This window comes from Homo sapiens, chromosome 6 (assembly GCF_000001405.40).
Source record: "Homo sapiens chromosome 6, GRCh38.p14 Primary Assembly".
Classification (NCBI taxonomy): domain Eukaryota; kingdom Metazoa; phylum Chordata; class Mammalia; order Primates; family Hominidae; genus Homo; species Homo sapiens.
Genome location: NC_000006.12, coordinates 38,924,504 through 38,940,955, shown reverse-complemented (window position 1 = coordinate 38,940,955; position 16,452 = coordinate 38,924,504). Strand labels below are relative to the sequence as shown.

General features: G+C 38.0%; 1 protein-coding gene and 1 long non-coding RNA gene across 9 annotated transcripts in view; one reads left to right on the top strand and one right to left on the bottom strand.

The window, feature by feature from the left end:
• The window catches only part of DNAH8 (dynein axonemal heavy chain 8), a 315,482-nt gene that overhangs the window by 89,837 nt on the left and 209,193 nt on the right, over positions 1–16,452 (bottom strand). For all 8 annotated transcript variants that reach the window (XR_926078.3, NM_001206927.2, XM_011514319.3 and 5 more), the window contains 6 exons: positions 14,746–14,901; positions 11,290–11,445; positions 8,963–9,145; positions 5,259–5,364; positions 2,730–2,982; positions 1,968–2,158 (listed from right to left, as the gene is read on the bottom strand). Coding sequence is in view for 7 of the 8 variants with exons in the window: in NM_001206927.2 (NP_001193856.1) it covers positions 1,968–2,158; positions 2,730–2,982; positions 5,259–5,364; positions 8,963–9,145; positions 11,290–11,445; positions 14,746–14,901 (1,045 nt within the window). In the remaining variant the exon portion in view is untranslated. The remainder of the gene's footprint in view (positions 1–1,967; positions 2,159–2,729; positions 2,983–5,258; positions 5,365–8,962; positions 9,146–11,289; positions 11,446–14,745; positions 14,902–16,452) is intronic.
• DNAH8-AS1 (DNAH8 antisense RNA 1) overlaps positions 1–16,452 on the top strand; it is a 46,613-nt gene that overhangs the window by 12,152 nt on the left and 18,009 nt on the right. Inside the window, exons 2-3 of the long non-coding RNA NR_038401.1 lie at positions 4,564–4,663; positions 15,905–16,043. This is a non-coding gene — a long non-coding RNA (DNAH8 antisense RNA 1). The remainder of the gene's footprint in view (positions 1–4,563; positions 4,664–15,904; positions 16,044–16,452) is intronic.

Here is a 16,452-nt window from a genome sequence, read left to right as displayed (position 1 = left end):
TAGAGACAGGGTTTCACCTAAACCGGTGACCAGGATGGTCTCGATCTCCTGACCTTGTGATCCGCCTGCCTCAGCCTCCCAAAGTGCTGGGATTACAGGCATTAGCCACCGCGCCCGGCCTAGGTTATCTTTTCTAATTGTTTTCTGGATAGCTCAAATTTCACGTCTGTAGTCATAAGAGCTGGTCACAAACTGTTTCCCCGCCTTTCAAACACACGGGGAACTGCATTTCCCTGCTCTTTTTGAAGTGAGATGTGGCTGTGTGTCTGGCTTTGGCTAAGGAAATAGGAGCGTAAGTGACATGTGTCACTTGTGGGGTAACTTTTAAGAGCCAGTGCACAGTCTGCCACATCCTTGCCCCTCTGCCATAGTAGTTATGGAAGCAATGTGGATTTCTGAGTGACTATAACAGCACGTTGGAGAGGTAACATGAATGAGAAGTACACCTTGGTTGTGTTAAGTCACTGAAATTTTGAGATTGTTTTTATGGCAGCAAAACCTGGCCTATTCTGATTCTGACTAAACAGGTCCTAAAATCACATCCAGCAATCCCCCACTCCAACCCTCCTCAAACCAACTCCTCTTCCAACCACCAGACCAGAAATCTCTGCATAGGCCAGAAATCATAGACTCATTTCTGCATGCTCTCTTGGCTCTTGTATGCATCGGTTTTGCCATTTTACTTCCTTAATCTCTACACCCTTATCTCCCTGTATATTCCCATTGCCTTTACGCTAGGTTAGGAATGTATTCCTGCAGTTGGGAAGATTGAAAGAGACTCCCTTGAACCTCTTTTCTTTGATCCTTACACGTGTGCCAAGTTCACCTCCCTAAATGACCATAATGATCAATCACGTCACCACCTTACACAACTCCCTGTTTCTTCCCAGATCAAGAAAATCCTTCCTACAGGAACCCAGGCTCTCCACAGTATGTCACCAGTTTACATGTCCAGCTCTATTTCTCAGTATGCCTCCATATCCACCTTTCATTTCAACAAAACCAGACTGATTCTTACAACTTAGATGTTCTCCACTCGTTCCCTTTCTCATGCTGTTCCATTTCAGCATGGAATGTTTTCCTCATTTCTACCTCTTCAGGGTCCACCTCAAATGCCACTTTCTTTATGGGGTGTGGGGAGCCAGAAAATAATTGGTTAAATCATACATAAAGAGCCAAAAACACAAGAAAAAGATTGAAACATTTTGCCACGTACCAAATAGTTCCCCAATTCATGGCTTAACCCACAAAGGTATATTTTCTAAGAAACTTTTTGATTTCACCAACCACATGTAATCTTTCCCTCCTTTTAGACTCAACACTTGTTTCTTAGCTCTCTTATAGCACTTAGGTGATTCTGCCTTACTTTGGAGTTATTTTTAAATTATCTTTATCCCCATTCTGAGGTTATTATTTCTTTTCAAGCAATATCTGGTTTATTCTTACATCCCCAAAGCTAGCGTGGTGGGTTTACATAACATGTGCTCAGTAAATACTCGTGTAACTAAACTGAAATGAAAATTCCATTCTTTTGTCTCCTTAATTATACCTTTAACATGGAGATATGCAATGAATAGGATTAACTTCAAATATGAAACATAAGTGAGCCTTTTCTTGCAGTCTGAAAAATCATTATACTCCCTTGCTGAGGGAATGGCTGTCCTGCTAAAGAAAGCCATCACCAGTATCACTTTTCCTGGCATGGGCAGCAGTGAATAAACTGAATGTAGTTATATCAATAACTACAATAATACCAATATTCAGGTGAGTTGGCACAGGCCTGAATCTTAAGTAACTAGGGCAAAACGAATGAAAAACAGAAAAAAGGTATTAAAAATAAAACTTAATTAAACTTTCGTTAGAACATCATTTCCCTACTGTATCACAGAAATGGGTTTATGGTATATCAAAGAGCATATCAAAAGCAACATCCTCCACACACCACATCTGTATCCCACACACTTTACCTTTAATGAGAGCTTGAAACTCTCTGTGCTTAACTGTCCCTCTCTGAAGGTCAATCTTTAAGGTCATGAGGAGTACAAACAGGAATTTGTGGTTTTCGTATAGGCCTCTGACAGAGTATGTAAAAACTTCATATGTCAGGTACTCGATAATATTTGTAATTCTCTTTTGAGGTAGTGGTGACTTTTCAGATCTGAAACACATTTTAAGAATCAAAGAAGCAAAGGGCAATTTCTTTTTTTAAAAAACTTTCAAGTTCAGGGGTACACATGAAGGTTTGTACGTCGGTAAACCTATGTCATGGTGGTTTGTTGCACAGATTAATTCATCACCCAGGTATTAAGCCTAGTACCCATTAGTTATTTTTCTTGATCCTCTCCCTCCTCCCACCCTCCACTCTCTGACAGGTCACAGTGTCTGTTGTTCTCCTCTATGTGTCCATGTGGTATCATCATTTAGTTCCTACTTATAAATGAGACTATGCGGTATTTGGTTTTCCGTTCCTGTGTTAGTTTGCTAAGGATAATGGCCTCCAGCTTCATCCATGTTTCTGCAAAGGACATGAGTTCATTCTTTTTTATGGCTGCATAGTATTCCCCGTTGTATATGTACCACCTTTTCTTTATCCACTCTACTGTTGATGGGCATTTAGGTTGATTCCATGTCTTTGCTATTGTGAATAGTGAAAAAGCAATTTCTAAAAGAGTAGAAATACAAGCAAACTTTTAAGTCACCACTTTTGGATGAAGGTAGTGAGGACTCACCTGGCCATGGACTGGTCAAATAACTTCAAGAACTGGGCCAATGACGTCTGATACATGATGTTGACCATGCTCATCTCTGTGATGAGGAAGTAGAGGATGCTTCCGCGGGTGGCTGCGGGCCGGAACTCCTCCTGAGCCGCGTTGATCTTGATCTCAGTTTCTGCAGCCACATGCAACTTTTCACTTACCTCAGCTGCTGTCTGCTTGGTAGTTCGAAGTACACCAATGAGAGATTCGTCATCTACCAATGAGCCTGAAATTCAAAACAGGAAAACCGTAGTACACAAGACGGGAAACTTGCAAAGCAAGATACATCTCTTCTGAAAAAAAAAAAACGCTGTTAGCTTTCAACTTGATGTCTCCAAAGTCAGGAAGACTACTGGTACAGTAGAATCTTAAGACACCAAAAAGCTTCTAGTCCAACTACCACCCAATACCTGAAGCCTTCTGAACATTCCTGCTGACAGACTATCCCCTGCTCTGCCTAAACATCTGCAAAAAGCAAAAGACCCATTTGATTGGGTCTTCACATGTCTCAAGACAATGATCATGTCTCCAGTGCTCTTTGCTGTTCCCCATGTGATAGGCTTCACACCCACTGTCATCTTGGTGGCTCTCCTCAAAGTGTCACAGCTTGTCCACGCTGCTTGTCTCAGGGTGTAGCTAACCTGAACACTTCACACATGGGCTGACTGTCATGCTGATAGTTGAATGGTACACTCCTCACACTGCTTTAGTAGAACAGTCGTTGCTATAGAAAACTCTAATCCCTCTGTCTCTAACAAGAGCAAATTGGGTATAGTGAAAATGTCTCACCAGGAAGAGAAACTTGAATTTTATTTTTAGTTTTGCCTTTCATTATTTTTTTTTTTATTATACTTTAAGTTCTGGGGTACACATGCAGAACGTGCAGGTTTGTTACATAGGTATACATGGGCCATGTTTGTTTGCTGCACCCATCAACTTGTCATTTACATTAGGTATTTCTCCTAACGCTATCCCTCCCCCCAGACCCCTACCCACCGACAGGCCCCAGTGTGTGATGTTCCCCTCCCTGTGTCCATGTGTTCTTATTGTTCAACTCCCACTTATGAGTGAGAACATGCGGTGTTTGGTTTTCTATTCTGATATTACTTTGCTGAGAATGATGGTTTCCAGTTTCATCCATGTCCCTGCAAAGGACATGAACTCATCCTTTTTTTTTATTATTGTTTTTAATGGAAATAGTGCATGTTTATGACAATGAATTTGGTTTTTAATTAAAATCTAAGGAAAGACACCTTGGATGTACTGAGCTAACAGTCCCCATATCTGCGAACAGTTCCCATATCTGCGAACAGCAGCACTCTGGCCTACCCTAGAGTTCGGGATGGCAGACAAGTGCTGCAGGAAGGGCTGTGTTACTCCAACGGGTATGCTGTCTACTGTGGAAGTCCAAATTGGGATTAACCTCAAGGAGAGAGGTCTTGATCCAGCACACTCTTGGCTAGACTAGGGGAGCAGCCCTCAGCTCTGCTTGCTATATTTTTAATGCCCAGGGGTATCCCAAATGGCTGGGAGGAGTCACTGGACCAAGAAACAGACAACTTCACTAGCGGGAGCAGTGCGAGTAGGCAGATAAAAGGACTTTTCACTAAGCTCACCATAAAGGTACAGTACTTCTGGAAGGTCAGACTTGTTTAAATAACATCCCGGGATTAAGGTGCAGTTGTGAAGTATTCATTCACTTCTAATAAGGTAGTAGAATTCAGGTTTCTGTGATTTGTCTGCTACAGAACAATATGTTTGTTGATTTTATTTTCTTTGGATAAAATTTTCTTTTTATATATTGCAGAGAGAGTACATCCTCAAATTGAGGTGTGGCATGATGATTTGGCTGCCCAGAGGAGAACCTGTCTTTCCCATCTAAAGTGGGAGGTCAAGCCAAGTAGAGGGTAAGCTGGGCCTTTGGTACCCAAGCTCTTCTGACATGGATTACATGTGTCATAACCCGTTGCAATAACTGCATTTCAATGCCAAATGAAAGAGTCAATTTGAAAAAAAATAGATTGAGTTTCACCATGTTGGCCAGGCTGTTCTCAAACTCCTGACCTCAGGTGATCCACCCGCCTTGGTCTCCCAAAGTGCTGGGATTAGAAGCATGAGCCACCACGTCTGGCTTGGGAGACAGAGCAAGACTCTGTCTCAAAAAAAAAAAAAAAATAGATTGAGCACATTAGTTTCTTTGGGGCAAGCAAATTAACCTATAATGAGTTATCTAGCTCTATCAGGAGCCCTAATTTTTCTCAGGAGAAAGCAATTATATCAAGAAAATTGTGTTATTCTCAGATGCTCAGTCTCTATTTGCTAATTCAAAAATCAGATTCTCTGCCGTCCCTCTTTAATGTCTAGATGGAAATTGCCTTGCTTGTTTTTGCATTGATAACATGAGTATTTCCTAACATCTATAGTCATGAGGGCATTGAAAAGAGTGTAAATGAAATCCTTATTCAGAATCCGTTATTTCATTACTTCTTAATAACACAATACCTTTTGTAGCACTTAATTTATAGAGGAGGTTATCTTCAAGTTCTTTCATCTTCCGCTTATTAAAAGTAACATCCTCCAAAAGTTTAACCCTCTCAGCCTCTAACTCCTGTCATTAAAAAACAAAAAATAACATTGGAACTATAATTACCAGTTATTACAGTAAACCCAACTCACTAGTGTTTATTAACAATTTTAAAAGTTTAAAGCAAAGTACCTTTTGAATGGCAGAAGAAATTACTATCATTAGCCAAATCTATCTATCCATATTTTTGTTTCTGTGGAAATTTTTTTAAAATTATGCCTACTGTCATTAAGGTTCCACAGCACTTATACTGGCAGGCACCAGACAATTCTGCTAAATAATTTTGCCCAATTACCCCAAGCTCTCTTGCCAGCTTTAAGTTTATAAATAGCATGTCCCATTCTCTTGGCCCTGTTCCCACACTGCTTCTGTAAGAAATGCTATCTTTATTTGCAGTCAGAACAAGTAGAAACAAAAAGGCAATAATACCAAGAAACCAAGGGGCTACCCAGATTAAATGTGAGCTCTTGGCCTGGTTCCTATGGGAGCACCAGGTACCTGGTTTGGCACAGCCGATTGCCAATACAAACCCATTTTCCATTTTATTTGTATCTCCTTCTACAGAGGGCAAACTTGAATGTTTACAGGAGTTTTTTTCTTCTTACATAAAATGATATATTTTTAAAATTATATTTTGAAAAAATTTCAAGCATTCAAAAAGTTGCAAGCCTAATACAAGGAACTTTCATATAGCCTTCACTTAGATTCACCAAATCACATTTTGCTTTATCACTATATCTCTATAGAATACATAATGTTGTCATTATTGTTATTGTTGTTATCATTATTATTACTGCTGAATCACTCGTGGATGTCATGTCCTTTTACCCCTAAACACTTTAGCAAATCTCTGAAGAACCAGGTCATTCTTTTACATAAGTGTAGCCCAATATTCAAATTCAGGAAATTTAACACTGATACTGATGTGTCAGTATCACTGATACTCTCACTAAACACAGAGTCTACATTGAAATCTCAATAATCTCAATAATATTCCTTACAACATTTTTCTTCTGATTTTATACAGAATCACATGCTGCACTTAGAATTACGTTAAAAGAAGGTGTTTTAAAACTTATTTGGGAAGGTTTCTGGGAAAATTGCTTCAGAAATTTCATCATTTTCAAAAAGTCTTCCTGAACCAGTCAATCAAAAGCCATGGCACAGCCTTCATCTGTACATCTAATGTAGTTTGTTTTGTTTTTTGTTTTTTTGTGATTTTTTTCTGTGCGTGTTTTTTGTTTTGTTTTGTTTTGTTTTTTTGAGATGGAGTCTCCCTCTGACACCCAGGCTAGGATACAGTGGTGTGATCTCGGCTCACTGCAACCTCTGCCGCCCAGGTTCAAGCAATTCTCCTGCCTCAGACTCCCGAGTAGCTGGGACTACAGGCGTGCACCACCACGCCTGGCTAATTTTTGTATTTTTAGTAGAGACGGGGTTTCACCGTGTTGGCCAGGCTGGTCTCAAACTCTTGACCTCAGGTAATCCACCTGCCTCAACCTTCCAAAGTGCTAGGAATACAGGGGTGAGCCACCACGCCTGGCCTCTAATATAGTTTGTATCACAATCTATCAGTAGATTATTTCCCTCCAACTACGGTTTATGCATCTAGAAAACAGATACATAAGCTTTCCTATTCATTTTTGTATTATTGACAGTACTTATCTTGTGGCTTTGTAAAGAAGAAACTCAACCCAATAAATATTTGTCAAACTGAAATGTGCTGAATTTAGTCCAATTTCTTTATTTTACATTTGGAAAAGCCAAGGACCCAGAAATATGAACTCTGAATAACAAGGGTATTAGGCCGGTCTCTGCCAGTAACTAGCTGTGTGTTAAAACAGCCTAATACCCTTGTCCTCCAACTCCAAGACTAGTGTTATTGCCATTGTACTTACAGGGTGGCAGGAGTTGATGGGGCGATAAAGAGCATTGCTGTATTTGCAGGGAAATAACCAGTTAGTCATTTTCATTAAAATGGTCACCCCTGGGTGGCAGTATAGGAATACATGGACAAAATGAAATCATATTAGCTTCCTTTTCTGGATATGGAAAAACAGATATCATAGCACAGTGGACTCTTGCTAAACTTCATAGCAGGACCTGTAAACCTTATCTAGGAGGCTTGGCAGGCTGCAAAGTCCATGTGCTGTTACAGACCGAGACCCTTATTTTCTTTGGTCTCCATTTGCTCATCTGTAAAAATATGGGTATAATAGTAGGATTGTTAGGAGGGTTAAATATAATGTTTAGAATACCCTCCTGCATATTAAATGTGCATTTTTTTCTCCAGCAAGGTTGCTATGAGCATCTTAGCACATCTCTTGAAGAGGAAGCTAGGGAATAAGAAGAGTGGGTGTGGGGAGCCCTGGGGACCTTTAGACAGTGGAGTTGCTTGACTTCTGGAGGTTAGTGCAGCCTGCATGGGGGATCTAGACCAGCGAGGAATCATCTCAAAATAAACCCACAGCACCAATTAGACCACAAGGGACTAACTGTCAACAGTTAACAGCATGTGATCCTGAGAGGCGATGGAAACAGTGAATTGCCGGGCCAGGGCCATCTCCGCCTGGCTGTGGAAGAGGAACGGGATCCCTTCCTGGACTGCATAAGCCCCAGGTTTGTTGGAAACCAAGATCAAACAACTAAGAGAGTCAAAGCTGAGACTGTGCCCTTTTCACTCCACCAGACCAGCCACCTTTCAAGGGCCTGTGCCTGTGGTAACTGTCTATGAGCCAGGTAGGATGTTGCCTTTCACTGAGTCTACTTCTTTGGTGTCTGTGTCATTTCCCTCTCCCTTCTTGGATGTCTCTCCTGTGTTTGGGACCCTGGATTCACATCTCCTCTTTTCCCTCCTCTGTCTGTTTTCCTCCCTTGTCATTCTTTTTCTCACCCATCCACTTCATGCCTTGCTGCTCTTATTATTTCTAACCTTGCCTTTGTCTTGAATCTTTAATTCTAAAATTAATTACTTTATCATATTTTATGCAAATGTACTTTATAATGCAGATACATAAAATATTTTATGCAATTATATTTTATGCATAAAACAATGTTTTCTGAGCTTCAACTTAAAAATTAGTTTAATCTTGTATCAGTCTCTTAAAATCTTCCAGTCCTAAGTTGTTCTTTGTTTTATTAGAACCCTCAGTTAGACATAATTTCCCTGCTTTAGTGCAGGAAAATTTAATTAAAAATAAAGGTATGGCTCCCTATATCATTAGATTATTGGACTGTAGTAGTTGAAACTACTACAGTGGAAAGAAGAGCCATTCAGAGGAATTTCTTTTTCTCTCAATCATTGTTTTATTGATGTTTTCAGGTGTCCCCAAGACAAGGACTATACATAAGAGAGTCAGTACACCTAGAAGTTTAAAGACAGAAGTAGAAAGAGACGGGTGTGTGTGTGTGTGTGTGTGTGTGTGTGTGTGTTTCAGGCTGGATGAGAAGATGAGTTACATGATTTCTTGACAGGAATTAAGGCTGCAAAAGAAATACTTATGTTAACAAGGATAAATATGGTTTTTAAATTTTTTTTTCTTTTTCACATACTTAGCAATTTCTCAATACATTTTAAGCATGTATTATAAGCAGAAATTCTTTACCTTGAGAGAGAGATTACCTGTTTCTCTGTTAGAATGACTCTCCTTAGTAACTGATTCTCAAGTCCTTTCATTGTAACAGTGAAATCAATGACTGACGTTTTAGCATTAATCTCTGGGGTAAAGGCAGGATTTGGTAACTTCGTAGTAATGTAAAGTTTAAATGTATCCATGATATCACATTCCTTATCACCGACTTTCACCTACATAAATTCACATATAAAATTAAAAACAGCTTAAAGGGCAGGGAAAGGAACTTGGGTTCAATTTAGAAAAGAATTTACCTGTCAGTGCTGTGACGCTTCAATAAATTGGGAAGGAAAGTTACAAAATTTTAATCACTGATCTTAAATAATAAAGCCTATTCAATTTAGAATAATTTAGAATTGTAGTCCTGCCTGGTGATGTTTTTAGCAATGATACCAAGCAAATCAAATGAAAAAGTTATCCAAAACAAACGGTGAATAAAGGAAAACTTAGACATATCTAAGATTTGACTTTAACATTTTAGCAAGTACTTATCACTCCCATCAATTGTTTGTAGTACAGGAGCCGCTATTTTTTCTCCAGTTAAGAAAATTGTTTCCTACTGTGGAAATTTGATGTGTTTATAGGAAATTTTGTTTTTTGAATTTCATAGGTATATCTGAAGCATATTTGACAACAGAAAAAGTTAATGTAATTTTCAAAGGAAAAACGCCAACTTTTTTCAAAAAGGTAACATTTATCTTCAACACTACTATTTGCAGCATGTTGAAAAAACAATTGGTTTTTGCTATCTAAAAATCAGGTGGCAATCATAGAATTTTTAAATGACTTAAATCTCTGGTTAATCTTAATTCTGCCCGTGACCGAAAACATCACTAAGGCCACCATCACATTCTAAGGCATTATGCCTTCACATTGCAGATAAAAATCTAGGATCTTTTAAAAGACCTTCGGGAATAGAGATTCTATAACCTCCTTTGGCATATTAAATATGTCATATAAGATAAGCCAGACACAGATAAACACTGTATGATCTCACATGTGAAATCTAAAAAAGTCAAACTCATAGAAGCAGAGAATAGAACAGTGGTTGCCAGCAAGATAGGGGATGGGAGAAATGGGGAGATGTTGGTCAAAGGGTACAAACTTTCAGTGATAAGATGAACAAGTTTCAGGTATCTAAGGTACAGCATGTGTGGTGATGGATGTGTTAATTAATTTGATTGTGGTAATCATTATACAACGTATATGTATACCAAATCATCACATTGTACAGTTTAAATATATACGATCTTTACCTGTGGATTAAACCTTTTTAAATGCAGTTCAAAATTGTGGATGAGTCCATAATATCCAAGCCAGTCACCAAAATTTTGTTCTTAGCTTCTTTTTATGAAAAAGAGAAATTCTACCCTCTAATCTTATAGAATGATGCTAACCTTCAGAACACTAACTGCGTTTTATTTATTTTTCTCCCTATAAACTCATAAAGGCTTAAGTATATATTGGATGCTCCATAAACCTTTGCTGAATGAATTTTTTAAAATGCGGCATATAAAAGATTTTCACATTATGAAGAAAATTTTTCTGAATAAATCTGTCTTTATTTAATGAGAAAATATTCATTTTTACTTATTCACTGATACTCATGAAATTAAGTTGTCCAAAGTAATAAACACCCAATCAGAAATGCTGTTATAAAACTTAAGAAGCCTAAAGGTAGAGAATGACACAAATTAAACATGAAACACTTATACAAATTGAAAATAATTCATCACCAACAATTGAGAACAATATTCCATAGCTTCCAACAAAGTCAATGAGTTTAGACTGAAAATAAAGAGATAAATGACCAAATCAATGTGTTTATTAAAATGACTTTATTAAATCAATGACTTTACCAAATCAATGACTTTATTAAAATGTCATTTTCTCCAGGGAAGAAATCCGGGTTATTTTGTAAAAATGTATATATATAAGGCTTGCAAAACCAATATCTAGAGTTGCTTAAACATATATATACTGTGTGTTGCACTAACATATTAAGACCAGACAATGTGTTTCCTTAATGTTACTTAGTTTTAGCTAAACGACTACTCTTATCAAAATATTGCCCCCACCTCAGAAACTTTTATACGCTATAAAAAATAAAAGGAAACACTGAAGTATCAGTCTGGAAATAGTTTATTTCCGACGTACCAAATACTACTGCCTAAAGGAAATTGCATTTGCTGCTATGCTCAATAAGATAAGTAGATGTCACCATTGTTCTTTTCTTTCTTTCTCTTTCTTAATTTTTTTCTTTTTTTCTTTTTCTTTTCTTTCTTTCTTTCTTTTTTTTTTTTTTTACAAAGCTCACCTTGAAAGTGGTGCCAGATTTAATAAAATTCTTTTCTAATACATTATCCAAGGCTGGATCCAGCTCTTCATGAATGTCCTCAATGAGAAGGGGTCGGCCCAAGGAAAGGCTGTCCTCCAAGTGTGTGCGAAAATATTTATGGTTCAGAGATGTCACCTAAACAGAAAGAACTCATTGGTCTATCTGTGTTACAAAGAATGTGCCCATTGCTAAGGGAAACCGAGAGATTTGTTGGACAGGTAATCAAGAATTTTAAGGGCAATAGAAGAAGACTTACTTAAAAAAATTAAAGTAACATACAAAAATTAATTTCTAAAACTTGGTGAGTCATGATTTTGTTGAATGGGGTCTAGATGTGTAATGGGGTCTCTATGATCAAAAGAGGAGGGTTAAGGGGCATTGCTCAGATGCAATGTCAGAGTTCTGCTCCTGACAGATGGAAGAGAATAGTCAAGGATTAATCCTTTCAAACTTACATAGCTATAATCGCTCAGAGAAAGCAAAGCAACTTGCATATCTGGATATTCATTTATTTTCTCAGGACCCCTACAAGATGAGTAAGTGATAAAAAGTAAACATAAGAATGTCAGAAATGATATATTGAGTCGCACTGAGGGTCTATCCATGTATTCTGTCTCCTATTGGCACTGGGAAGAATTTAACACTTTCCGTAAAGTCAACCTAAAAGACTAGACATTCACTTTATATATGCTTACATTTTTTTAAAACTGCAATTCTGAATTCCTGGTTGGGTCTTCGTGTTTAGATTAATGCGTTTGTTATTAGTTAAAATAGACACACTGTAGTGGTTCATCTCTGCATGAGCCAATTGGATTTGAACCCTTACTTCACCTAGGATCCCTCCCCCTGCCTAACTGTGAAGATTCCCAAAGGCTCATTTCTCAACTTTTTGTATCCTATCTTCTGAATTCAACTAATGCCTTAGGCTATTGTGGGTGCAGACCATAAGATGCAAGGAAGAATCCACTGGGACAACAGGCGATTAGGAGAATGGAATTAAATATGTATCTCTCAATTACTATGATAAAAAGAAGATATGAAATATAACAATTAAATCAGCCTACTTTTGTCCTGTTTTGATTAAAAAGGAAATAACTAAAAAAAAATTCTGCACATGAAGGAAGTTGTTTCCCTGGATGAATAGCTTTCTTTATACAAATAATGTGCTGTAAAGACCTTCCTGTAAGTTAATAAGGAAAAAGAATCTAAACAAAGAACTTTAATGAACTTAATAAACAAGGTGAAGAAAAGCACCAGTAAGACTAAATTTGCTTATATCTTGCTTTATTTCTCAAGGGGTAAATTCTATTTTTGTGATATCTTTCCCAAGTAAGGAGATAATTATCTTCAGTCATCTTCAATGTCTTTTAGAAACTTGAAATAGTATTTTGGAATCCCAATTTCAGGTTTATTTCACTGGATTTTTCTTGTGAAACACTATTTGGTAGCCACCCCCAGAGCCTGGTTCACCTGCGCAAAGACTGGTATTGGGTCTTTACAAGGTGACCAGTGAATTCCTGATAGGGAGACTTGGTAAATACATCCTCTTTCCACAAGTCAGAGCTGTAGGTCCTGGAGATGGCATTGAAGGTAGCCTTGGCAAAGCTGCCAAGGTTGACCACAGCCCTGGGCATAAAAACTATGCTTTGTTTTTCATTTGCATGTGTTTGTACATGTGCTTATCCACATAAGAAAATAATGTTGTCTGAGTAAGGAGAATACAATTCAGTCTATTTCCATCCCAGCAGTGGATGGTTTTTAAAATAAGGAAGAGTTTCGGGCATATTTCTATTCCTTCCACAAGAAGGTTCCTGGGACTGGGTTGCATCAGAAAGGACTTCAGTGAAGACTATCAGTAAATTTAATCCAGAAATGGAGAGATAAAGCTAAGATCAGAAAAAATAGCAGCATTCATGTCCAAGTGATACAGGAGCATGCATTGAGCTAAGGATGTCCAGGCAAGGTTCCAAGAATAAGATGAGCAGGGAGATTGAAAGCCAGGGGAGCCAAGGGGAATGGGGCCAGGGACAAGTTATAGTTGACCTGGCTGCAGAAACTAAGAACAGAAGTGTTCTGGTATACCACATTTGTGCACCCCTGAAAATGTGGCTCCTAAGAAGCTTCGTGGAAATGGACACTATTTCTTTTAACTCTTCTCTTCTATTTACATTGCCTGGTCCATTCTAGGATTTCCCTGGGTTTTCTTAGTAAACATAGACTGATGTATCGTGTTCTGGAGTATTGATGAGGTGGGGTATTTAGGTGTGCTTCCCAGCACTGGGCTATATCCACTTGGATGAGAAGCACTGATCTCAGGAGGAAATCTTTCAACATTTCACCACTAAATAGGATGTTTGTTATGGCTTTTTGTAAAAAGAAACTATCTAATTAAGGAAGATCTCTCCCAGTTTGCTGGAAATTTGATCATGAATGAGCATTGAATTTTACCAAGTGCTTCTTTTCATATTCATCAAGATGACCACATTATTTTCCTGGTTCTTTTTTTCTATAATGATGACACACTTTGATTAATTCACTTAAATTCAATAAATATCAGAATTCCTACTCAAAAAGAGCAGTGCAGAACATGTAAAGATGAATAAAACTTGGCCAAAAAGGAGTTCATGGTACAATAGAAATAAAAGATAAATGTGCAAAGAACAATAATTTAAGTCAGATTCTAAGTCCACAACATGAGTGCAAACAAGACATTGTGAGGATTCAGGACAGGTTATATTGAGCTGGGGACACAGAAAAGTCTTGATGGAGGTAGTGGTGGATGTGGACTTTGAAGAATATCTGAGATTTTTATCTAGGATATAAGTGGAGGTAGAGAAAGACATTTTGGTTAGTAGAAACAGTATAAGCAAAAACATGGGGACGGGGGTTTAGAGCACTGGGAACAGTGTCTAGGAAACACTGAATATCCCACATTGGTAGTTGAATTAAAATATCAATAGTAACAGAATCCCTAAGGGAGTCAGGAATGTTGGAATCCTGCCCTTGTCTACTCTCACCTTAAAATTAACACCTTATTAGATGCAAGCACCAAAGCTGGACTCAGTAAGCTACGTAGTACCAAGAGCCTGAGCAAGGTTGGCATGAATGGTCTTGAACTGAGGGATCACAATGTTCTATTTGCCACTTTCCTATAGGCCCAAACCCAAGGCCCGGAACAAAAGCCACATTCGACATTAGCAAAAGCAATGGAGTCAGGGAAATGTACAAAGAGAGGGGGAGGGAGGATCCAAAGAGAGTACAAAAGAGAGAAAAGAATCAGAGCTGTTGCCCCAAATTGCTGTTACAAAACTCAAGAGTGTGAATTAGCAAACATTTGTCATGGAGATGACAACTTTATGACTGCAGATTCAATCAAAATTTTGAAAGAGTTTCATGATTTCAAGATTACTTTCCCCTGCACCAAATGCTACATACCTGTAAATCATTTTCTTTTTCCTTTGATTTAATCCAAGTTTTGCCTTGAGTTTGTGGGTCTATGAGGAGTGGGTATCTGGTGGCCTTTGTCACAATAATGCCATTCTGAATTGAGAGATCATCTCCTGGTAATCCCTGTAGCCCCCACTCACCAATCTGAACAACAGGAAATGGATATCACCATTCAAAGGAGAACAGGAATGCCCTCATTAGTAATTAAAAGTACTGTAAAGTAAAATAATTTAAAATGTGGACATTATTTTCCTTTGAGACTATGCAACTTGTACTTCGAAAAAAAGCAAACTTGTAAATGTGAACCAAATAACATTCACATTAAAAAAAAACAAATTTATTATCTAATGAATCCCTTCTTTAATTACCCAAGACAAGGTTTATCCTTTTGCATTGTATTTTCATACTTAGGGGAATCATAGCAAGTTGATTGCATATTAAACCTGATTTGGGGTTAATGGAGATAGTGAATATAATGAAATGTCAGAGAACAAGGTAAGTCCCAGGCAATTAGCCCCTGATAGCTTCCCCTTCCGGCCCTTTGGTTCTGCCCACATGGTGTATGGGTGATTGCATAGCTGGAGATAAATTAGATGAGTTATTATATTGGCCGGAGCTCATCAATGACACTTTTGTGAATATTTCCTTCTCCAAATTTAGAGGGGATTGCCAGCCTCCCACCATGTGATCAATAAAATCACCGGGCCAGGCGCAGTGGTTCATGCCTATAATCCCAGCATTTTGGGAGTCTGGGAGGGTCACTTGAGCCCAGGAATTTGAGGCTGCTGTGAGCCATGATCACAGCACTGCACTTCCGTCTGGGCTACAGAGCAAGACTTTGTCTCTAAAAAAAATAAAATAAAATAAAATAAAATAAAATAAAATAAAATAAAATAAAATAAAATAAAATAATCAGAGATCCAATGAGCCAACCAGCCTCCACCTTTGTTAAATTATCCCAGGACCCCCAAAGGCCATAATTAATAAAGAATATTCTGGCCCACTTTGCTTCACCAGTGCCCAGTGCATCTCCAAGACATAATCTATTCCCTGTAAGGGTGAATTCAACAATGTTCGAATTGGAAAAGATTAGTTTTTAACTTTTAAATACAGATAATATGAAATTAATAGCTTGGCATCCCCTAAGGAAACAGCAACTGGAGAGCAGATTTGCAAACCAGAAAAGCAACTCATGAATACAAATTGCCTGGAAAGCATTTATTACAACAGAAGCTCTGCAAGATATACCGGAAATTGACAGTGGCATCGAATTCCCAGCAAGGAAGGTTAGTATGAAAGGACTTGCTATTACTTAGGGTCACCAGAACATGCTATTCTGTTACGTTTTTAGACACTAAAAAAGATAGCAAATAATGAAAATAAGGTTAATACCAGCACAGATCATGCCTACATTTGCCTAAAATGTTTGAAAGAGAGTATGACTTCACAGGAGTGGTGTAAATAATGAAGAGTTATAAGAAGGGCCCAGTATTAGCAAGCTGATATCTCTCAAATGATCTTTCAGTTCATAGCAATGCAATTGGTCTTAATTTGGAAGCAAGATTACTTAAAACGCAAAGAAACATTTATACCATAAAGAAAATTATTTTTAAAAAAACTCTTAAGCACTTTCAAAACAATCTTCCCAGTTAAAGAAAAAATTCAATGAACCTGGGTTTCTTTTTTTTGGGGGGG